Source organism: Homo sapiens, chromosome 16 (genome assembly GCF_000001405.40).
Source record: "Homo sapiens chromosome 16, GRCh38.p14 Primary Assembly".
Lineage (NCBI taxonomy): Eukaryota > Metazoa > Chordata > Mammalia > Primates > Hominidae > Homo > Homo sapiens.
The window spans coordinates 66,238,461-66,263,528 of record NC_000016.10 but is presented as its reverse complement, the minus strand read 5'-3'; the positions used below and the strand labels follow the sequence as shown (position 1 = coordinate 66,263,528).

The 25,068-nt window shown below is 46.7% G+C and overlaps 1 long non-coding RNA gene across 3 annotated transcripts; it reads left to right on the top strand.

The window, feature by feature from the left end:
* Nucleotides 1-2,603: 2,603 nt before the first annotated feature.
* LOC105371317 (uncharacterized) lies at nt 2,604-25,068 on the top strand. 3 transcript variants are annotated; one of them, XR_007065087.1, is made up of 4 exons: nt 2,604-2,784; nt 16,916-22,915; nt 23,863-24,000; nt 24,935-25,068. It is a non-coding gene; the product is annotated as an uncharacterized LOC105371317 (long non-coding RNA). The 3 variants fall into 3 exon arrangements; XR_007065086.1 differs by lacking the exon at nt 2,604-2,784 and having other exon boundaries at nt 16,755-22,915; XR_001752241.2 differs by lacking the exons at nt 2,604-2,784; nt 24,935-25,068 and having other exon boundaries at nt 16,755-17,018; nt 19,432-19,494; nt 23,863-24,185.

Sequence of the window (25,068 nt, the reverse complement as noted above, 5' to 3'; positions counted from 1 at the left end):
TTCTCATCCTCTGGTCTCTGTGTCAGTTTCATGGGTGGGGGGTGGCAGCAGGAGGTTTCTTCCCTGCCCCTTCATGCTGAACTGTGGGTTAACAGTGCCTCCTGAGATAGCTCCAGCTCCCTCCAAGGTCCTATTCCCCCCCATCTCTGGAGGCTGAGGGGTGGAAACTGCTTTTGGCCTTTGGAGATCTACCTCCCCTTGTGGGTTTGCTTTAAGCCTTCTGTAAACACTCTTCAGTGGGTTGAATAGTGACCTCCAGAAAGTATGCCAACATTCTAAGCCCCAGAACCTGTGAATGTGACCTTATTTAGCCAGAGAATCTTTGCATTTGTAATTAAGTTTAGAGATCTGAAGATGAGATCATCCTGGATTATCTAGGCGGGCCCTAAGTTATAAGACAAATGTCCGTGTAAGAGACAGATGAGAAGACACAGAGACACAGGGGAGGCCACCATGTGGAGACAGAGGCAGAGATTGGAGGGAGGCAGCCACGAGCCACAGAACGCCTGGAGCCGCCTGAAGCTGGAAGAGGCGAGGAGGGATTCTCCCCTGGAGGCTTCCTGGCTGGCGATCAGGGTCCTGCCCCACACATGGATTTCAGACATTTGGCCTCTAGAACTGTGAGCTCATACATTTCTGTTGTTTTAAGCCACTAAGTGTGTGGTGATTTTTTATGACATCTCCAGAAACAGATACAGACAGGTCCCTCCATTGAACTCTCCCCAGTCACCCTATCCAGGTGTGCCAGGAGCCAGGCTGATGGGGAAGGGTGCCATCCAGAGTACATTTAAGGGCTGGGGAGTGCCCAGCACCATGTGTTCAAGTCCCCAGGAGAGGGCCTTGAGCACAGGCCCAGGGATTTTGTGGTGAAAACAGCAACCATAACAGCTGAGGCAGGTGCTAGGAGGCTGTGCCCTCATCCCCTAGGCCCACCTGATGCTACCTGCAGTTGCTGTGGAAAGTTCCAGAACACTGATGACTTCCCATCCGGGGCACCCGCTCTCTCAGGTAGGGTGTCCTCTACCTGTTAGAGCAGCTTAGCCCATACAGGGGAGAAGGCTGAGGGTACTGGGGGTCACTGTCCCAGGAGCAAGCGACCCTTCACAGGTGGGAGTGTCCCTTCATGGGGCAGTCCAGAGCTTTGTGTGACACTGTGTCTTGAACATCCCCAGCAGGAGTGAGCCCAGTTGCCCACTGTGATGACTCCTACAGGAACACCCCCCACCTCATTAGCTTTCTTCACTTCCCTGATCACTTCCTCGCTCCCTCACCATATTCTGGCATCACCTCTCAATTAACTACTTGCACCAAATCTTTGTCTCAGGGGCTGCTTTTCGTGAAACTGAAACTAAATCAAGAGCTTGCAATGCCCATGCATTCACAAGGCACCCCCTTCCCATGCAATTGTGTGCCACTTTCTTTAACAGCCCATGGGGTTGGTACTTCTGTTATTTCCATTTTGCAGAGGGGGTTACCCAGATACTCCAAGACCAAGTGACTTGCCCAAGGTCACAAACCAGGCTCCCAGCCCAGATGGAGTCTGATTTCAGAGCTGGCTTTCACTATGACTTTGTCCCAGGATGGGCTGGTAAGTGTTCAGAGGGGAGGAGTGGGTCTCACATTTATGAGCATTTATGGTGTGCGAGCGCTGTGCTAGGCACTTTGTGAATAGCAAGTCACTAAATCCTCTCAAAACCTTGTGAAGTGGAACTGGCATTGTTCCCATTCAAAAGATGAGAAAACAGACACTTCTAGAGCTTAAGAAACTTGTTCCTGGCCACCCAACTAGTAGGTAGGTGCCAGAGCTGGGATCTGGGCTCAGACCCTTCTGCTTCCACCTGCTGGCCCCTTTCAGAGGTCAAGGCTGTCTTCTTAGTGCCCCAGGGACTGGTCATTGAACATTTATTTTAAGCTTAATTAGGCAACTGCATCTCATGAGAACACATAGCCACAGAGTTCTGCCTAGTTGGTAGAGAGGTCTTGCATGGTTTGACTTGAATCTTAGCCCCTGTGCATATGCAGAATTCCCATGGGTGAGTCCTGAGAGCAAGTGGCTCAAAGAGACTGACAGTTAACCCCAGGGTTGCTGAAACCCGGATATTGAACGGGGTCTTTCATAAGCAATCTCAGAAGTGGATGACAAATGCTCAGCCATATAAAAGCTGGCCAGAAGCAGCATTAAATCCAGTCCCCATGTATTCTCCTTTCACTCCTCCCCAGCGTCCACACCTTTTCTAGAATCTTCTATCCTGCTTTTTACCTTCACCTGTCCTTCTCTTTGGACTCAAGTACATCTCCACATCATCCCTCCACTCTGTGCGGAGGGCAGGGCAAGGACCTTTATCCTCCTACTGCAGAAGGAAACCAAGGACTGCAGGGTCATCCTGGGGCATCCTTGCCCGTGGTGGCAGGTGAGGGTGATGCAGCTCTTCCTGGCCTCTGTGCTCATGGCTCGTGCATGCCTTCCTCCTCCTGCAGGAGGTGAGACTCTGCCATGCTAGAGAAATGCTCAGAGAGATGGTGTCAGGCTGCGGCTGGGGAGCCTGGGGACCCATTTGAGGTGATCAGGAGATGTGTAAGGTCAAGTGACTAATCCTGTGATTTCTCCAAGATCAGATGCACATTCCGTGGAAATAGATGTGCTCGATGGCAGCATCAGAAGGGAATCGATGTGCGGGGAGCTAGGATTAGATGATGTTAAGCTGAGGATTTTATAGTCTGTTTTTCTTCTAGGAGAGTCAACAATAGGCCGGGGTTGTTTCATCTTCCTGAATAAGCAAGCAGGTGGGTTTCAGAAACAGCAGCCACGGCCCAACTGTGAGTGTGTGTATGTGTGCTTGTTTTGGGGAAGGTGTGTGTGCACATGTAGGTGGATGTGCATGTATGTATGTCTGTAAGTCTGTGTAAAGGTGTGTGCAAATGTGTGAACACTTATGCGTGTGCTGTGTGCATGTGTGTGGCCGTGCGTGTGTATATGCGTGCTTGTGAGTGGTTTTGGGTGTGTGCATGAACATTTGTATGTTTACAGGTGTACATGTACATGTGTGTGCACATGTGTATCTCAGTGAGTATGTGTATGAGCATACCTGTGTGAGTGGGTGTGTTTCTGTGTGTGTGGGTGTAAATATGCATGGGAAAGGGTGTATATATGTGTGTATATAAGTGTGTGTGTACAGAAAAGAGAGAGAGAATGAAGCTGGGATCCAGGTTCTTTTCAAGACTCTTAGAATAAATGCTTGAGGTGATGGATACCCCATTTACCCTGATGTGATTATTACGCATTGTATGCCTGTATCAAAATATCTCATGTAACTTATAAATATATACACCTACTATGTACCCACAGGAATTAAAAATAAAAAAAAATTAACAAAAAGACTGTTAGAGGCTGGGCACTGCAGCTCATGCCTGGAATCCTAGACAGCACTTTGGGAGGCTGAGGTGGGCGGATTGCTTGAGGTCAGGAATTTGAGACCAGCATGGCCAACATGGTGAAACCCCATCTCTACTAAAAATACAAAAATTAGCCAGGCATGGTGGTGCCTGCCTGTAATCCCAGCTACTTGGGAGACTGAGCAGGAGAATCACTTGAACCTGGGAGGTGGAGGTTGCAGTGAGCTGAAATGACGCCACTGCACTCTAGCCTGGGTGACAGAGCAAGACTTTGTCTCAAAAAAAAAAAAAAAAAAGAAGACTGTTAAAAAACATGCTATAGCCCTTAGAGACACATGGGGTCTCCAGAAGAGCCATAGAATGGTGTTGAGGAACCCCCAGGCCCATGGCCCTGACCATGAGTGGGTGACTGGGTAGCTCATCTTGTGAACACTCCACCCTCTCGCCTCTGCTGGCACAGTCATGGTGTGGGGTTCTTGGGGCCAGTGTGGATGGACAGTCTTTGAGTTCCTCAGGGCCTGGATGCAAATTCTAGCTCTTCCTTCTCCCTGTGGGGCCCTGGGGTAAATTAGCATCCTCCCCAAGCTTCTGTTTCCTGCCCTGTGAAATGATGTAATGAGAAGCCCCCATAGGTTGTTGGGAGACCCAGAGGAGACCTGGGTAGGAGAATGCTCTGGCACTCGAGCACTGGGGGCTTCCATCCCTCCTTCCCTGCTCTAGCTGGGGCGGGGCAGCTGCTCCTGGGCTCTGGGGCTGCCCATGGAGGTTGGGCCCTGTAGAATGTCAGTGTGAAGACATCTGGGGAGCACATCAACTCTTCTACCCAAACAGTCAGGCTATGGCTTGGACCCCATGGGGCCCAGATGTGTCCACGAATATCACTCAAAGTGCACTTCTACCAGGACAAGCCGTTAGAAACAGAACCTTCCTCAAACAGCCATCTTGGTGTGGGTCCCGGGGACAGGTGGCTGTTGAGAGCTCTGGCAGGGCTGAGACTGTCTCACAGGCCATGCAAAGCTGCTTAATGACCCTCTATCTGGTGTTGTGGCCAAAGCAAGGACTCCAGAGCCAGAGAAACCAGATTGAACTCTTGGCTTGGCCACTTCCCAGCTGTGTGACCTGGGGCAAGCTGCTTGACCTTTCTGGGCCCTGGTTCCTCACCTGCAAATACTCACTGCCTTGCTGACCTGCCTGGCTCAGGGGAAGCTGCTTCAGAGAGAGCTTTAAGGACTCTGTATTCATTTCCTATGGCTGCTGTGGCTTAAAACAGCACCGACTTCTTATCTTACAGATCTGGAGGTCAGAAGTCTGACATGGGCCTCCCCGGCCTAAAATTGCATCGGTCGGCTGCGTTCCTTTCTGGAAGCTCTGGGGGAACACTGTTTTCCTAGTTTTTCCATCTGCTCTAGGCTGCCCATGCTCCTTGACTTCGGATCCCTTCTCTTTTCAAAGTGCATCACCACTACCTCTGGTTCTTCCATCATATCTCCTTTTCTGACGCTGGCCTTCCTGCCTTCTTCTTCTAAGGGTGCTTGTGATCACATGGGACCCACATGGACAATCCCAGATAATCTCTCATCTGGAGATCCTTAACTTTTTTTTTTTTTTTTTTTTTTTTGAGATGGAGTCTCACTCTGTCTCCCAGGCTGGAGTGCAGTGGCGCCATCTCGGCTCACTGCAACCTCCGCCTCCCGAGTTCAATAATTCTCCTGCCTCAGCCCCCTGAGTAGCTGGGATTACAGGCACCCACCACCATGCCCAGCTAATTTTTGTATTTTTAGTAGAGACGGGGGTTTGCCATGTTGGCCAGGGTGGTCTTGAACTCCTGAACTAAGGTGACCCACCCGCCTTGGCCTCCCAAAGTGCTGGGATTATAGGCGTGAGCCACTGTGCTAGGCTGAGATCCTTAACTTAATCACATTGCAGAGTTCCTTTTTACCATGTAAGGTCACCAGTTCGGCCGTTCTTGCATTGCTATAAAGAAATACCTGAGACTGGGTAATTTATAAGAAAATAAGTTTAATTGGCTCATTGTTCTACAGGCTGAACAGGAAGCATGGTGCTGACCTCTGCTTCGGGGGAGGCCTCAGAAAGCTTACAATCATGGAAAAGGTGAAGGGCAGGGGCAGGAGCAAGTAGGGGCTGGTGGTGGTGCCAGGGAGGTGCCACATACTTTTTTTTTGAGACGGAGTCTTGCTCTGTCACCCAGGCTGGAGTGCAGTGGTACATTCTCGGCTCACTGCAACCTCCATCTCGCAGGTTCAAGCAATTCACCTGCCTTAGCCTCTCGAGTAGCTGGGACTACAGGCATGTGCCACCATGCCTGGCTAATTTTTGTATTTTTAGTAGAGGTGGGGTTTCGCCATGTTGGCCAGGCTGGTCTCAAACTCCTGACCTCAGGTGATTTGCCCATCTTGACCTCCCAAAGTGCTGGGATTACAGGCGTGAGGCACTGGGCCCAGCTGGTGCCACATACTTTTAAATGACCAGATCTGATGAGAACTCACTCACTATGGCAAGGACAGCATCAAGCCATGAGGGGTCCACTCCCATGATCCAGTCACCTCCCACCACCTCCCACCTCCAACACTAAGGATTACGATTAACATAAGATTTGGGAAGAGACAAATATGCAAACTCTATCAGTCACATTAACAGGTTCCCGGGATGAAGATGTCTTTAGGAGGCCACTACTCCCCACTACCACAGTGTCCCCAAAATGAGAAGAAGCTTTGCAACTGGCGGGGAGGAGAAAGGTAGTGCAGGTGTCCCCAGCGTCCCAGCAGAGCAACTATCCAGTCATCACCCACTGTCTCAGTCATTCCACAAACATCTATTGAGTGCCAGCTGTATCCCAGACTAATCCCTGCCCTCAGGAAGTTTATGCACTGGTTAGGGAGGCAGATAACAAACATGAAATACATAATATTGCAGGTGCTGACAAGTTCTTTGGAGAAAAGTCAAGTAAAGCAAAAGGAGGGCAAGAGGTGTGGTGAGGGCTGCCTGGGATAGGGTGGGTCTGGAAGCCTCTTGGGAAGGTGATGTTTGGGCAGGGCCTGACATTGAGCAAAGGGAGGAGCCAGCCAGCTGGAAGGGCGTGGCCAGTGTGGATTGAATTGTGTCCCCCATAAAGATATGCTTAAGTCCTAATTCCTGGGCCTGTGAACATGATCCTATTAGAAATAGGGTCTTTAGCCAGGTGCAGTGACTCATGCCTGTAGTCCCTGGTAATCAGGAGGCTGAGGCTTGAAAATCACTTGAGCCCAGGAGTTTGAGGCTGCAGTGAGCTGAGATCGTGCCACTGCACTTTAGCCTGGGTGAGAGAGCCAGATTCTGACTCTAAAGAAAAATAAAATAAAAAAAGATACAAGTTCTTTGCAGCTATAATTAAGATATAAGGTGATAGGATGACGCCTAAATCCAATTATTAATAAAGCCTGGAGTTGGTCTTCCTGCTATAGAGCAGACAAACCGTTCACCTGGGGCTGCCAAAGTGATCAGCACAGCCTCTTCCCATCCTTGTTGATACAAATAAAATAAACAGGAGCAGCTGCCATTTTTTGTTCATTCATTGCCTGGCATGTTGCAAGCATTGTCTCATTTATTCTCACACAGCTCTGGGAGGTGATTATTGTTAGTGTTCCATTTCACAGATGAGAAAATTGAGGGTTGAAGACTAAGCGATGACAACTGCCTACACACACTCAGCTATTGAATTGGGTTTTTGAGACTTAACCCCAAATCTCTTTGCATCCAAGGGCTCACTCTTAACCGGAGCAGCTTGAGGTCAGGGACCATCCTTTCTTTTTTTTTCCTCTAATGTCTCCATGCATCTAGCAAAACGTCTTGCACATCACAGTCAGCTAAAACATATTGATTTTTTTCTTCTGTTAATGATCTCTTAAGTCTTGACAAGAGAGTTCAGTTCAATCAGAACTTTTGACAAATCCCAAACCAATTTTCCCTACTACGTTGATTTATTTATTCTGTAAACATTTGTGGAGAGTCCCTGAGCACCTGGAACATGCTGCAGGGTTAGTGTCTTGGTTCTATCCTGAATAGATGAATTATAGCTACAGTTTTGAAAAGCGATTATTTTCATTGGTATTTGGATAAAATACCCTAAGTAGTCTGTGGCTGCCCTCAAGGGAGCCAAGTAGCGGCAGCTGGAAACCTGGCCTCCTGACTGGAAGTCACAGGTTGATCCCTGTTCACTTGTGGCCTTGGAGCCTTTGGCTCTGCAGGGCTTTTGGGCAACTGGGATCTCCCAAGTGTTGCCTGCCCCTCCCGCTGGGTGAAAACCTGCAATGCACCTCCTGGCCTCCAGAATGTGCCACTGGTCCTGGTGTCTCTCGAGGTTTGGTCCCAGAAGCCTTTCTTCCAGATACTTTGCAGAGCTGTTTCTGTCTCTTTCTCTCTCTCTTTTTTTTTTTTCTGCCTTTTGCCATTGTCATTGCTGCTGACAAGTCCCAAGAGCAATTTGGGATGGCCATGTTTTGGTGTCTTCAGCGACCTCAGTCCCCTGGGAGAAGTTATTCCCCTGCATCTCAGCTGATGGTTGGGAAATGGATGGTTTGTCTGTGTCAGGAGGTGTGGGCAGAAAAGACATGGTTGTTGGTGCGGAGTGCAGAGAGACGGGGTGGAAGAGTTTCACTGGAGTAGCTAAAGAGAAGACAAGTTGACTAAAATGACAGCTATCATTACTGCCCATCTGCTTGGCATGTATGCAAAAATAATAATAACATTGAAACAACTACTTGATAATGCCCAGGCTGCAGGGTCTCTCCCCATCCAGTGATATAGAAACGGTGCAGATTGTTCCAAAGAGCAATTTAGCACCATTCATTGAGCTTTAAACAAGCTCCTATCGTTAGATCTAGCAATTGCTTTTCTAGGATGAAAGTCAGTTAAATCACAGATGTGAAAAGATTTATGCTGAGGTTATTTATCATTGGATATAGTAGCAAAACTTTGGAAAGACTCCTAGTGTCCAACCATTGGGAAGTGGTTAAATAACTTCTGTCCATCCATTCGTTCAATGGAATGGTATGCAGCCATTTAAAATGGTGCTCGTGTGCATTTTTGCTGCCATGGAAACATAATAATCATGGTAATAGTGTTTATAATGTGCCAGACACTGCTCTAAGACTTCACAAGGAATAACTCAGTTATTCCTCCCAGCAACCTTGTGGTGCAGATGCAATATCAGAATAATCCCCAAGTTACAGATGGAGAAGCAGCAGCCAGTAAGGCAATGAGCCAGGACTTATAGCCCACATGGCATTGAGTGTTTCCTAACTGTTTACCACTCTGCCTCTCACTGTGACCACAGAGATGGAAAAATCAAAGACATGAAACTGCATGTCCAGGTTATCCCAGTTTTGCTGGGAAAGATGTTTATTATGCTTAGAAGAAAGACTGGAGAGGAAAACATCTGCGATGTTGGTAGCTCTGAGTGGTAGGATTAGGAGTAGTTCTCCTCTATTTTTGGATTTTCTAGGTTCTTTACAACAATTGCTGTATTAGCTTTATAATAAAAATAGAGAAAGTGAAGGGGGGAGGTCTTACAGTTGCTGAGATGTTGAACTTCACTGTCTACTACCTGTGTGACCTTAGGAGAGTTACTTTACCTCTCCGAACTACACTTACTTAGCTGGTAATTGGGAACCACCTAGTTTTTAGGATTGTTGTGAGGATAAGAAACTCTATAGGGATGGTCCTGAGCATGTTTGTGGTTAGGTCTATTTCTTGCCTTTCCCTGACTCTGGTCTGTAGGACAGGGGAATGGGATGATCCCCAGAGGCTCCTGTGTCAGCTGGCTTCCAGCTGGGCTCAGCCAGTGGGAAGCACTCTTAGGAGATTGCCGGGTAGGAGGAAGAGAGAAGCCAGCATTTTCCTCCCCCTGTCTCTGCCTCCAGTGTGTTCTCAGGCAGTGGTTGTATCTCCTCTGTGGTTTTGTGTTTTCAGCTCCTGCCATGGAAGTCCTCTCAGGTTCCAGCCTCCATTGGGTGATCCCAGCTCTGGGCTCCAGTAACCCCACTTCTTCCCTCTGTGCCTCCATCCTAGAGGTGGGAGTTTCCTGCTATTTCCAACTTTTGGATTGCATCGCTGTCCCCTGGTACTCTTCTATTACTTGTTCAATTAGTCTGGGTTCTCCAAAGAAACAGAACCAATAGGAGATACACACACACATAGGTACACACACACATGCAAACATAGAGTTGGCTCACACAATTATGGATGCTGAGAAGACCCAGGATCTGTGGTTGCCAAACTGGAAACCCAAGAGAGCTTGTGGTGTATTCCCTGGTTGAGTCCCAAGGCTTGAGAACCAGGATTACTAATGGTGTCAGTTACAGCCTGAGTCCAAGTCCAGAGGCAGGAGGCTGGTGTTCCAGCTAGAAAACGTTAGGCAGAGACAGCAAATTCTCCCTCATGCCACCTTTTTGTTCTAGTCAGGCCTTCAATGGGTTGGATGGGAACTACTCACATGGGGGAGGGCAATTTGCTTTACCCAGTCTATGGATTCAAGTGCTAAACTCATCCAGAAACACCCTCACAGACACACCCAGAATAGCTTTTAACCAAATATCTGGGCACCCTGTGGCTCAGTCAAGTTGGCACAAAATTAGCCATTTTACTTGTATAACCAGTTCTCTACATTAATTCAATTTAAGTGATTTCTGTTTCCCTGGTTGGGCCTTAACTGATACAGAGATGAAAAAAGGTTTGGTTTTGACCTTGGTATTCAGCTTTGAATGGCTGAACAGCCAAACGCCTAGTTCGGTGTCATTTCCGGGATCTGTAAGGTTGTGAGTCATCAATGATTGAGTGATCATTTATATAACAATAAGTAATGATATGAGATGGTATATTTTTGGATTCATTGTTACTATCTAAATATCCACTTTCAAATATAGGTAAGCTTTCTGAAAGTATTCTAGAGTGATTTTTTTGGGGGAGAGGGGGTAGAAACAGGGTCTTGCCATGTTGCCCAAGCTGGTCCTCAACTCCTGGCGTCAGTGATCCTCCCACTTCAGCCTCCAGAAATGCTGGGATTTCAGGTGTGAGCCACTGTGCCCAGTCGATTTTTTTTTTGTTTTAAAATTTTATCAATTGTTGGAAGTATAAATTGTTGTGAGAGTCAAGTGTTGCAATAATTAATTTTGATTATGAGAGTTAATTCGATTTACTAAATCATCTTAAATTTTTTCAATTGACAAATAAATAGGGGGACAGAGTTACAATTAATATAAATATTGAGAGTATTAGCTAGATAGCTTTAGGAAGAATATTATTTCCTTTCTGAGCCAAGCAATGCTTATAAAATTTAAATAATAATACAGAACAGAATAATAGAAATTAGATTATATCACAATTACAATATTTGTAGAACCTGCATTCATAATATTCAACAAAATAAACTTTAATAACTGCTTTTAATTTTTAGTTGTATAATTCTATCTAGGAATTCTATCTAGGTCATGAGGATTTCAAGAAAATATTAGAGTTTTTTTTTATATACTGAGAGAATGAATTAGAAATGGAATGTCACCTTTGCTACCTCAAAATAGGAGGAAAAATTCTGAAGTTATGTATGATGTTCATGATAAAACTGATTCAGATGTAATATAAGAATATAGGTATAAGGAAAAAAAGAAAATCCTAGAGAAAGATGAAGCAAGCCTCAAATATCTTGCTTTTCTCTTGACTTCAGTAGAGAGAGAGAGCATTTATTTAACATCACAAATTTGGCCAGGTACAGTGGCTCATGCCTGTAATCCCAGCGCTTTGGGAGGCCGAGAGGGGCTGATCACTTGAGGTCAGGAGTTCGAGACCAGCTTGGCCAGCATGGTGAAACCCTATCTCTGCTAAAAATACAAAAATTAGCCAGATGTGGTGATGGGTGCTAATAGTCCAGCTACTCGAGAGGCTGAGGCAAGAGAACCACTTGAACCCGGGAGGTGGAGTTTGCAGTGAGCCAAGATTGTGCCACTGCTCTCCAGCCTGGGCAACAGAGTGAAACTCTGTTAAAAAACAAACACACACAAAAAAACCACCACCACCACCAAAAAACAAACACAAATTTAGCTAAGAGGCCATAGGGCCACCCAGTCACTGACAGTTCTGAGAAATTTTTGTTTCTGCCCGAAGACATTGAATGTTCAAAATGTGACTACTGAAATGTAAATAAAAAATAGTAAGATTAAGGAATTTCTAAAACGAAATGACAGCATTGTTCCTGTCTAGATTTGTGACCCCCTCCCAACCCGCCAGTCGCAGCTTTGCTTCCTTCTAGTTTGAAAGCATCCCCAGAGAGAGCCCTCTCCCTCGCCCCTCCCTGTCCCTGCCTTTGCTGGGTGCAGATCCTCTGGATCTGGAAGCAGCATCAGAATCTGAGCATCCCGAGTTGCTTAGCAGCAGCTGGAAGAGATATGAGACCCCAGCATGGACCAAGGCCTTCTGAGGCTTGGACAAATGCTTCCAAAACAAACTGTGAAGTCTTTATTTATTGGATGACTTTATTTGGTGCTTCCTAGGTGCCAAATATCTCACTACATATCTTTCCCCCATTATCTAATCCTACCACCCAGCAATCCATGAGATCATCCCTCTCTGCATTCCCATTTTACAAATGAAAAAACAGGCTCACACAGGCAAAGTAATTTGCCCCAGGCCGCCTGGCCTGTTGGTGGCAGAACCGGGACTTGAACCCTGGCCCTTCTGACTGCAGAACACATCCACTTAACTGCCCTGGTAGCATGCCTTCTCCCAGAATATTCCAGACCGTGCAACCCAGCATTGCCATTTTGCTGACAGAGAAAAGGAGAGGCATAGTTTCAAGGTCCCCACCCAGAAGGTCAGCGGCATTGTTGGTTTGAATTTCAAGTCTGAGCCTGGGGCATGCAGACCAAAGCCAAGTGCAGGGGAACAATATCTGCTTTGTGCATTCTCCATCCCTGGAAGCATCAGGCATGCAGTCCGTTGGGATAGATCCTGCAGGCTTTAGGGAGCTCTCCACCAGGGAAATAGTTACAGAAAAACAATCCATTTGGTGCCAGTTGGAGAGGAAAATGCTGGTTGCTTTTTAATTTACCTTGTGAAATAGCTGCTGCTGGGACGGAGCTGTGGCCACGAGATCACGGGGCTAAGAGCCAGGCACTTTGGCGCTGGATCCCTCCTCTGGATAACATGGGGTGTTTGAGAACACTGTCTGGATGTTTCCTGTTGACACAACTTTGTAAAACTCTCTGAGCATTGTCAAGCACATTCAGGAGCCGGGGCTTTTTGCTTCAAGGCATGTTAATTACTCAGTGAACTAGCAGTGCAGTGGGAGAGGCAGGGTGGGGCTAAGGGGACATCAGCAGTCTGGCTGGAATGAAATGGCCCAGATGTTGTTGCTGCCCCCAGCCGTGCTCTGATACATCCGGCAAACATTCCAGGGCCAGTGCTGTCCAATGGAAACATAATGTGAGCCATGTATATAATTTTGAATTTTTTAGCAGCCACATTAAAAAAGAGAAGGAAACTGGTAGAATTCATTTAAAAATATATTTCATTTCATGTAATATATTCAAAATAGTATCATTTCAACATGTAATCAGTATAAAAACTATTTTTTTTTTTTTTGAGATGGGATCTTGCTCTGTCACCCAGGCTGGAGGGCAGTGGCGTGATCTCAGCTCACTGCAGCCTCCAACTCCCGGGCTCAAGCGATCCTCCCACCTCAGCCTCCTGAATAGCTGGGACTACAGGCTCAAGCCACCATACCTGGCTAATTTTTAATTTTTTTTATTTTTTGTGGAGACAGAGTCTCACTGTGTTGCCCAGGCTGGTCTCAAACTCCTGGCCTCAAGTAATCCTCCTGCCTTGGCCTTCCAAAGTGCTGGGATTACAGGCATGAACCACTGTGCCTGGCCTGTAAAGCTATTAATGAGTATTTTATATTCTTTTTATGGCACTCAATCTTGGACATCCAGTGTGCATTTTATACCTACAGCATGTTTCAGTGTGGACTAGCCACATTTCAAGTGCTCAGTGCTACAGGTGGTATTGCTTCTCTGCCTGTGGTGCAGCTCTTGCCATCCCTCTCTGCTGCTCAAAGACCTTCTGTGGCTCCCGACTTGCCTAACCTGTTGGAGTCAGTCATATACTGCAGTGATTTGTGTTTCGGACTTCCTCTCTCTCCACCACCAAGAAAGGTGGGTACCTTTAAGGAAGAAAAAGAGTTTTTATTATGGTGTCTATTAGGGGCATTTATTATGTATCTACTGTGGGTGCAAAGGGAAGGCTTTCCGGCTTTGCCCTCAGAAGATTTGCTGAAAAATCAACTCACAAAAAGGCAGATTACTAAGAGAAAAGGCAAACAAATTTATGACTACTGTGCACACAGTGAGAATCCCAGTGATTGATCAGTGGGATACAGATGCTTATATACCCTGCTTTCTTAGGGGAAAGGGAGATGGGGAAGTGTGGGTGATTTTAGGGGGATAGTAAGTGATTTTTCTGAGAATTCAGTGGGCTTGAAGAACATACAATAGCCTGCGACAAAATCGGTTGGGTCCGCAGAGCAAACAATGGTTTGTGACCAAAGTCTGTCTAGTAGGTGTGTAGACAGTCTTTGGTTTTCCTTCCTGTGATATGGGTTCAGTTAGTGAAATTTCAGGGAAGGGATCAGAGGTAATTGTTTTCTTCTTTGGGCAAATAAGGGAGCTTCAGCCTGTGCTGTGGGAGAGGTAGAGAATTTAGAGACAGGAAGGTTGGGGAGGAAAAACAATTGCTGTCCTTCGTGGGTCCATCCTGTCTTTATGCAGATCAGGAAAAGTCTCTTCTAGCATCTGTCTCTTTTAGCAAAAGTCTGTTCTAGCATCTGAAGGCCTTCTAAGGACCTTCAGTACAAAACACGCATTATCCCAGGGAGCAGTATTTTGGGGTGAAACTCTTCACACTCCTTTACTACTATGTCCTAGTTTTAAGTCCCTTGACTAATTGTGTTTTCCACAATAAATCTTACTGCGACACATGCCTGCATAAGACATTGCGTTAGGTGCTTTAAGTAATTTTCCTTTTTTTGAGATGGAGTCTCTCTCTGTTGCTCAGGCTGGAGTGTAGTGGCGTGATCTTGGCTCACTGCAATCCTGGGTTCAAGAGATTCTCCTATGTCAGCCTCCCTAGTAGCTGGGATTACAGGTGTGTGCCACCATGTCGGGCAAATTTTTCTTTTTTCTTTTCTTTTTTTTTTTTTTTTTCGCAGAAATGAGTTTTCAACTATGTTGCCAGGCTGGTCTTGAATACCTGACCTCAAGTGATCTGCCCACCTTGGCCTCCCAAAATGCTGGGATTACAGGTGTTAGCCACCACGCCCGGCAGCTTTGTGTAATTTTCTAATTAAATTATCAGTACAACTCCATGAGGTAGGTATTTAATTTCCATTTTACAAATGGAAAATGGAGGCTAAGAGAGCTGAAGTTGAATCCAGATCTGTGGGACTCTAAGTTGCTCTTTTAGCGACGTTGTGCTGAGCCCGGACAGGTTTGGATTCTCAGAAAACATGTATTAAATGTCCTGACTGAGACAACAGTTTCTTGCCTCTTTCTTGGGATGAACAGCAGACGCGTGGAGGCGGCAGAAGGGGCTGGGATGTCTACTGACATGTGTGTTTTTCTTGGTCATCAGGATGCAATATCAGCTTAGGCCCAGGAGTGCTGAGAGCAGCCTCTTTGGGAACTGGGTTGAGCACAGCCAGTGCTCTCAGCAGCCAGGCAACAAATTGGAAAGCCTCAGTCTGTGCCTGATAAATGCCCGTGGGTGGGTTTCCCCTCCCCTCCCGGCATCAGGCTGATAACTGGCGCTCTGCCCCTCCGGCTTCCCGAGACACTGCTATTTACGTGATGCATGATTCACACTCATTTATTGCCAGAGAGTACGATGCTTTGCCTTGGTACTTTATTGAGAGCACAATAAAAATAAAGATGAGCTACTAATAAAATGTCAAAAGAAAATGTCAATTAGTATTACCAAAAAGAAAAAAAAAAGAGAGGCTGATGTTATTGTACATCCTCTCAGTGAATTCCCTCTAATTAGTCAAATAAATATGCAGTCCTCCCACTTGGGTGTGTGTTTGTTTGCTTTAAAACATTGTAATTACATCCTCCGCTTTGGAAACTTCTGGGAACCGGAACCTCCACACATGGGCTTTAGCTAGGACGACGTGAGCCAGCACTTTGGCTGGGATGAAACTCCATGCCTGTGTAAGTTACTGGGCTAAACATTCAGAAGCAGGTTGTGTCTCACCCTGCCGTCACTCAAACTCCCACTGTGGCTCCCTAAGGCTGTGACATCAACACCAATTCCACTTCATACAGTGCAAGGGAACTGGGCAGGGAGAGGTGAGTTCTGCATGATCTTGAGACAACCTCTAACCCCTCCACGCCTCTGTTTCCTCTTTGGTGAAAGAAAGCAGTTCTAGCTGCTCCCAGCCATGAGGCAATCATGATTTCCATGGCCAACAACTGGCTCTCCCCATCCTTCCAACTTATCCATATTTCCCTCTTCCTGCAAGAAAACATTAGAACTTCAGTTGATATTTAGTTTATATTGACTTCTTCTATTTTTGTATATATTTAATGTATGTAAATCTATGCTAGGAATAGAGAACACGTATTTGACAAAGAAATACATACGTTAGTGATGTCTCCTGAAAAAACTTTTTATTAAAAAATCTGTGTTATTTAAGGCCGGATATGGTGGTTCACGCCTGTAATCTCAGCACTTTGGGAGGCAGAGGTGGGTAGATCATTTGATGTCAGGAGTTTGAGACCAGCCTGGTCTCTACTAAAAATACAAAAATTAGTTGAGTGTGGTGGCACACACCTGTAATCCCAGCTATTCAGGAGGCTGAGGCAGGAGAACCACTTGAACCTGGAAGGTGAAGGTTGCAGTGAGCCGAGATCAGGCCACTGCACTCCAGCCTGGGTGACAGGGTGAGACCCAGTCTCAGAAAAAAAAAAAAAAATCTGTGTGATTAAAAAAGAGACAACTAGTTTACAGAACAAGGGCTCTCTATATATTTATTTATTATTATTATTTTTTAAGATGGAGTTTTGCTCTTCTTGCCCGGGCTGGAGTGGAGTGGTGCGATCTTGGCTCACTGCAACCTCTGTCTCCCAAGTTCAAACAATTCTCCTGCCTCAGCCTCCTGAGTAGCTGGGATTACAGGCACCCACCACCACACCTGGGTAATTTTTTATTTTTAGCAGAGATGGGGTTTCACCAAATTGGCCAGGCTGGTCTGGAACTCCTGACCTCAGGTGATCCAGCCACCTCGGCCTCTCAAAGTGCTGGGATTATAGGCATGAGACACTGTGCCCGGCCACAAGGACAATATAGATGAAATAAACTGGAGTGAGAAGACTGGCCTTAGGGTCCTAGTCGTTCCTCCTGCCAAGTGCCAGGCCTAGGCAATGTTTGACCTTCCTTGTCCTAAAATGGGGTTAATCTTGTCTGGATGTTCTGTTTTAAGGTTATTCTGAGAGCTGATTGACATATGCATGGGCAGATGTTTTATAAACTGCATTCTCTACAAACTGAAGGGGCAAATGTGATGGATTCCAAGGCTCCACAAGGTAGGAATTATTATCCTGTGAACAGCTCAGGAGGCAGCTTTGAAGAGGTGAGGTCTTGCTCAAGGTCTCACAGTGAGGGTGGGTTGGTGTCCAGGTGTGAGTCCAAAGCTCATGAACTTTGCACTGTGTCAGACCCTTTGCCATCTGCATTCTGATCTTCAGCACTCATGCCTTATCCTGTGATTCGGCTTGCCAATTTTCCCCGTATCTTGTTGCTGGCCTAGGAGAGATTTGCTCATTTAAGATGCCATTGACCTTACCTAATAAAAAGAATCAGGAACCAAGGAGTCTGTTTAATTCATTATTAAAGATCATTTCCTGTTATTATCTTCCCTATAGCAAAATGAGCTGTTAACTCTCCTGTTAGCATAACCCAGCCAGTATTACTAGGAAATTAGGAAAAAATCAGTTTAATGATATGTGCGCTGAGCCCAGGGAATTCCCCATCTTTGGCGCATATTAACATTATGCCTTAGAAGTCGAGGAAATGTTCTGTTAAGTGGAAAAAGAGTTGCAGAAATTTTACTTTTAAAAGTCAAGTAAAAAGTTACTTTTTTTTTTTCCCAAGTCAAATTAATTTTTGTCTCAGGGCAAGAAAAAGTAAATTAAAAATCACATGCTGCCGCTTCCTCACAGGCCCCATTTCCTCCTGGGTTTCTGTCCCTCTTGGCTGGAGTTTTGGGTTTCTCTGGCCCAGTTTGGGCCTCGGGGGACACCAGGCTTCAAGGGTTTCTGCTCCCGGGAACCTCTGGCCATGGCAGGGTGGGGCAGCCTGCTCGTCTTCTACCTGTCTTCCCTTTGAGGTACTTCCCTTACTCCCGGGCAGTTGTGGGGGTGAGGAGGGAGCAAGGACTGAGACCCCGATGATTCAGGAAGGTCCTGTGTTGCATGATGTGGAGTGTGGTTGACCCCTGGATGAGGGGTTGCTGGGACACCGATCACCCCTCCCTCCACTGGGCATTAACATATCAGCTGGCCAGGGGCTGGTGGCAGACTTTAGTAGCCTCCACCAGACTCCCACAAAGGGCAGAAATTGTGCTGGTGTGACGTAAATGAGGTGCCTAGTTATGAGTGGGTACCCAGGAAGTGAGGAGCTCTGGACAAAAGGAGCAGGCAGTGAGCAGGTGTTTCATGGTCAGGGGAATACAGCACTTTAGAGCCCCGTGCTCACGTGTCTGAACCCATAGGGGTGCCTGGGTATATGTGGGGGGAGACACAGCAGCCTGGCGTGGTCAATGAGTCATTGGGCTTGGAGTCCACAGACATGTGGTGGAATCCTAGCTCCTTGTGGCCTCGAGAAAAATCACAAAACTGCTTTGGGCCTCCGCCTCCATATTTTCAGCTGGAAGAGAGACGTTTGCCAACCTTTTCAGGTTGTTGTTTTACAAACTGCATTCTCTACATAATGAAGGGCGCAAATATGTGGTGAAGGTGGCAGGTGATAACGTTTCTGGAGGCTTCACCACCATGGAACTCCGAGATCTCAGAACAGGCTGAGGGGACAGTGCTTGGCCAGGATCACAGGAAAGGGGAGGCACTTGCGGAGTCCCTTCTGTGTGCCTGAAACCCTGTTAGGCTTACAACACATTCGTTACAGGCTTATGGGTTCTTGCAACTCAGGGAATCTTGGGAAACCCAGTCAGGTGATCAACTCATCCCAGTTTGTCCAGAATTTTCCTGATTTTATTAATAATAATAATTAATAGCACTGTAAGTACCATGACCTGGGAAACTTCCCATTTCTTGGCAAAGTGGTCACTTTGCTGGTCATCCTATAAATCTTTCTTGTTTTAAAGACTAGAGTTGGGGCAGAGACTATCTGGCCCAAAGTTACATGGTTAGGGACCACCTGACCTGTTTTTGATGTGAACCATGCTTTCTGGGCAAAGACAGAATCCAGCTCACCTCCCACCAGCTCAAGCAGGACCCACACGCCACATACATGCATCCAAAGAGATGAAGTTTCCTTGGGCTCATTTCACCTGTTGGTATCTGACTTACAATTGTTTTCTGTTAACTCCATTATCTTTAATTTGCAAGAACGCAGCCAACAGGAAACCTCTGGATGCTTTCTCTTTAATGAAACACAATTTGATTACAAATCATCGGAGTCCCCTGGCAGACAGCCTTTTTTGGAGGATTTTAGCCTGCCGTGGTCACACCAGCATGATTTCTGCCATTTGTGGGAGTCCAGTGGGGGCTGCTGAAATCCCCCACCAGGGGAGGTGGCCACCAGTCCCCCGTCAGCCCATGTGTTAATGCCAGCTGTTGAAAACACCCTCCCGCATGGCCCTGTGGATGAGGGGTGTTCTTTGTGGTTCCTTGGACACAGTGTGCCAGAAATGCCTTCCAGGTTCACCATACCATTTTGATTCAATGTGCAAGGTTTATTTTTTCTCATATCTACCAACAGACATTATCATGGTCAATGTCCAGCAGACCAGATATGGGGTGATCAATTGTTTGAAGGTAAAAGGTAAGAGCCATGAAGCCAAGTTACAAGAACATCTGTGTTTACTGGGACATTGGAGAGCCTTAGCTCATGGATATATAAGGCGACTTGGGCAGCATCAGCCTTATAGGGCTGAAAGGCAACCCCCTGGGGCAGTATCCTTAATGCGGCAATTTATTAGACATGGTGAGAGCAGGTCACACTGTTCCTGGGAGTGGAGTGGCGTGATCATGGCTCACTGCAGCCTCAACCTCCTCCCCAGGTTCAGGTGATTCTCCCACCTTAGCCTCCCGAGTAGCTGTGACTACCGGCTGGGGCCACCACGCCCAGCTAATTTTTGTATTTTTAGTAGAGACGGGGTTCCACCATATTGCCCAGGCTGGTCTCAAACTCCTGGCCTCAAGCGATACACCTGCCTCGGCCTACCAACATGTTGGGATTACAGGTGTGATCTGGTTCTTTCTGATTGAGGAGTCTGTCTGGGCTCAGGAGGAGGGTCTTGTCTGCATAAGAAGATGGATGAAACTTTCTCAGTTCCTTCCTGACACCAACAAGAAGAAACAGAGTGTAGCATAAGCACACGGAACACTGGTCAAAAGGACAGGTTCTAGTCCTCACCACACCATGAACTGGCTGTGTGATCTTGGGCAAGTCATTTCTCTTCTCTGGTCCACTCAGTGTCTCCATTTGACATACTGGAGAATTGAATTTATCTGTCTCTAGGATCTTTCCCTTTCACCTCCTTCCATGGTTTTCTAAGTACCATCTCTTTATTTCTTACTCGCACACAATCTCACCTCTGCCTTCTAGCTAGAATGCATGTTTCTGAGGCCAAGCATCTTCCCCGAGTGCTCCCTAGTAAGTGCCTCACACATGTGGGATCAGAGCCTGTGGTTGCATAGCAGTAAAATTAGCATTACCTGCAGGTGGGGGTGAGGGGTTTCACCCCATCCTCCAGCTTCTTAGAGGAGAAAATATTTTAATGGTTGGAAACAACCTGGATCTACACAAAAGGGCATGAAAACAGCCACTTAAATTCTACGTGCACTTGGCACTGCAAAGATCAGAAAACTCCCATCAAGATAGATGATACGAAGAAAAAAAGCATGAGCACTTTGCTTTAATTTAACTCAAGATGACACCTCCATCATCCCGTGGTCTGTAGTCTCGCGAGGGTCCCCGCTCCCTTTTGCACATGCGTGGTGTGTGTTCACACGGACTCTTCTACAGCTTTGCATCGCTGGGTTCACAGCATTCCTCCTCTCCCTCATTGGTTCCACACATTCAGCCATAGCTGTTTGTGACTTCTCTCCTTCTGCAATTGTTTGAAAACAGTGTCAGAGCATGGCTCCTTTATCTTGCTGTGATTGCTTTATTTATTTATTTATTTTTTTGAGATGGAGTCTTGCTGTGTTGCCCAGGCTAGAGTGCAGTGGCACGATCTCAGCTCACTGCAACCTTTGCCTCCTGGGTTCAAGTGATTCTCCTGTCTCAGCCTCCCGAGTAACTGGGATTATAGGCATGCACTACCACGCCTGGCTAATTTTTTGTATTTTTAGTAGAGACAGGGTTTCACCATGTTGGCCAGGCTGCTCTTGAACTCCTGACCTCAAGTGATCCGCCCACCTTGGCCTCCCAAAGTGCCGGGATTACAGACATGAGCCACAGTGCCTGGCCATTGCTGCGATTGGTTCTAAGAGTCTTTCTGCCCTTTTTTCTCTCTTCCTGCTATGCTAACCCTCACGGGACTCAGATTTCTTGGGAAAGTTGCACAGGAATCATCTACTTTGCAGGGTTAGATATCAGCCTTGCCTTGAAAGGCTGAGCATCATAAACAGTAACACACAGTCTGTTTTCTCTCCCATACTCCCACCCTCCCACACCTCATACTGAATATTTAAGAGGTATTGAGCTTTGGGGAAAAGAAGGGAGGAGATGTTGGGGAGGAGGTGTTCCTTGATATGAGAAAGCCCATTTCCAGAGAATCAGAAGACTTGAATTCAATTCTGCTGTCAGGGGTCATGGGGAAGTCACTTTATCATCTGGGACTCAGTTTCCCCATATGAAAAATTGTCATGAAAATAAGTAAACCATAAAGTCCATTTTAAACTCCAAAATAGAGAGACCCTCCCTCTCCTTTTCTAAGACCTTACTTAGGGTGAGGTCCCATCAAGGTTCTTTATAACGTACCCCTTTTATTTATTTGAGATAGAATCTTGCCCTTGTTGCCCAAACTGGAGTGCAGTGGCACCATCTTAGCTCACTGCAGCCTTGAACTCCGGGGCTCAAGCAACCCTCCCACCTTAGCCTCCAGAATAGCTGGGACTATGGGCATGTACCATGCCCAGCTATTTTTTTTTCCATAGAGATGGGGTCTCCCTGTGTTGCCCAGGCTGGTCTCGAACTCCTGGCCTCAACTGATCCTCCTGCCTCGGCCTCCCAAAGTGCTGGGATTATAGGCACGAGCCAACAGTCCCAGTCATGCACTCCATTTAATCCTCAAAACAGCCCTTTGAGGGTGGTGTTATTAGCCTCATTTTACAAATGGGGCAACCAAGGTTCAGAGAGGTTAATGGACCTGCCCAGTGAAAAAGTTTATGAAGCCAGAGACCAAATCCAGAATTTTCTAACTCCAGCACCCATGTTTCTAACTCTAGAGATTTTTCTAACTCTACCCTCTCAAATATGATGAGACTTTGGTGGTACTCTCAGGAAAACTGCTGAGAAAATGTTGCTTGATTTCCCTGCCCCCATTTGCACAATGGGTTCTATGTCATGGAGAACTTTCCTTTCAAAAAATTTCCAAAGGACAAGTGATGCATTATGTCTTCCATTTTTGGCAACTTCACACAATAACCTTAACAGCCTCTTGGCTTCCATCTCCCAGGGATGGCATTTCAAGTATGCCTGGTCATGGAGTGCCTGTGGTTTAAAATTTTAATGGAAGACCCTTACCCCCATCTGTCTTGATTCGCTGTTGCCCTGTCCCTGGCTTCCTGGTGGTCACTGAGCTCTGCGGGCCCCCCTTCCCCCAGCCCGTCTCCTCCTGCCATTGAGAGGGGCTGTTCTCTTTCCCAAGCGGCAAGCCCCTGATTCTTTTAGCACAGCCAATGGGCTCCACTGGGGCTTTCAAGCTTGCTGGCAATTTTGGATGTCAGCAGCTGGGAAAATCAAGCTTAATATTTCATGACATTACAAAGTCAGTTTGTTCTATTTTCATCCCAGATAGAGTGAAAAAGCAGTGTTCTCATCAGGAGACTCTCCCAAAAAAGTGGGAGGCAGTTGGTCTGGGAGCCACAGCAGGTTGGCGGGGAGTACTGGGCAGGCGGTCAGCATTTGGATGCTCTGGTTTTGGCTTGACAGCCAACTAGCAGTTGACCTTCGGCGAGTGATTCTCTCTCTGAGCTTTGACTTCCTCCTGCACAAATAAACGATCTCTCAGACCGTAAGTACCCTGATTTAGGAATGATGTGGTCTTAAACACAAGATCGACTTGGGGAGGTGTTTGTATCCTCCATGCAAACTTTAGGAATGGCTAGAGTGTTTTGAGGGGCAGGGACAGAAAAGCAAGGAAGTGCCCTGGAGACCAAGTGAAGAAGACTGGAAAATGGGACTAGCTCTGTCTGCAGGATGTACGAAAGGTTCGGGAGGCCCAGCCACTGTGCCATGGTTCCAGGGTGGAGCCCAAGGCTTTGGGGACCTAGAGGGGGAAGACAGGTGCTGGTGATGTGGGAAAAGTCGTCTTCAGTTCCTGTGAGTCTCTGGTCTGATGCCCAAGGGAGGTGCTGGGTTCAATTGTCACCGCCAGACTCATGCCTGTCCTGTTTCTTCTGCTTCTGCAGCATCTGCACATGTGCCCACACAGGGGTGTGCGATAAGACCATACAGCCCCATGCTCTGATCCCACACGTGTGGAGTCTGGAGTTTACTGTGTGTCAAGCACAGTACCCAGTGCTTGCACTTGCATGCCTTTCCATCTTTATCACAATACTAAGAAGTCAGTGCTACTCTCAACCCTATTTTGCAGTTACAGAAACTGAGGCCAGAGAGGCCAAATGGCTTTCCCAAGACCATACAACTGGTCAAGGGTAGACTTGTACTTAACCCCATCTCACCCTAATCCATACCCATTTGCTTTCAACAAATTCTGAATCCTCTGCCTTATAGACCAAGTCAATTGGGCCAAGACCTGTTCCTGAATATGGCTTTCTTTTAATGCATCTCCAGGATCACTTTTCTCTGATCTAGAGTCTGGACCACCTCAGGGGACAAAGCAGAGCTGTCAGGGAGGTGTGGACAGGAGCAGGAATGATGTCAGATTACCAGCTGCTTGCAGGACGGTTGCTGGGTGGCTGTGGACTGACGCGGCTCTTCTGCCATTCTCACTTGTAGTTGTCAAGAATAACTTTAGACTTTGCTGGGAATGCAATATCTTCTGACAAGGAGGAGTTGGCTGGAACAGCCTGGGCTCTGTACCTGTCCCTCAGATGTCCTTTGGTGCTTTAGCCCAGTGACTCATCGATCTCCCAGGTATAAAACCCAGGGTGGGCTTCTTTCTGGGGTCCTTCGGCTGCAGTACAAGTGGGGCATGCACAGATGAGACTCCATCTACCCTGGGAAGCTCTCCTGAGCCTTGGGGGACTGGCTTGTCATGAATCCTTGGCTTTAGTTGTCCCTTGTTGTGTATTTCTAATGAATAAACCTGTTGCATATAACTTGTGTGTATGAGTGTTCTGTCTCATCTGACTCAGGACAGTAGTAAAAATGCAATGTAAGATGCAGTGAGCTCAAGTGGTACCAGTGTACTGTGAATGCACTTTGTGCTGCCATGCTGGGGTTCAGAGCAGGCATCCATGTCTAGAGCTACATATGGAGACCAAACAGAAAATAGAGGTAAAAGCCCTGTTGTAGGGACAGGGCCAACATGGCGGGAATTAGTGAAGTAGGATTTGGTGAACATAGGAGAGTAATGAAATCCCTGGAACAGAAAAAATCTAAAGTCCACAGAAGAAATCCCATTGAATTCCCTAAAGAAACCTGACATGTTATGTTTTGACCCAGCCAGTCTCATTTGTTTCATGCAATTATCACCAGATTGAAGTTTGCTGGGAGATTCCAACTGACCTGGAAGTTGCTGGATTGATGGGAAGAGATCCTTCTAATCTTAGAAGAATTCTTGGAATGGCTCAGAAATAGAAACTCAAGAAGCAGAGGGATTTAATTACACAGGAGCTGGGACTTCTAGATTATGACATTTATATGGTTTGGGTCTGTGTCCCCACCCAAATCACATGTCAAATTATAATCCCCAATGTTGGCGGTGGAGCCTGGTGGGAGGTGATTGGATCATGTGGGTGGATTTTCTTTTTGGTGCTGTTCTCATGATAGTGAGTGAATTATCATAAGGTCAGGTTGTTTAAAAGTGTTTGGCACCTTCCCACTTTCTCTCTTCCTTCTATTCTAGCCATGGTTGAAGACATGCCTGTTTCCCCTTCGCCATCTGCCATGACTGTAAGCTTCCTGAGGCCTTCCCAGTCATGCTTCCTGTATAGCCTGTGGAAACATGCGCCAATTAAAACCTCTTTTCTTTATAAATTA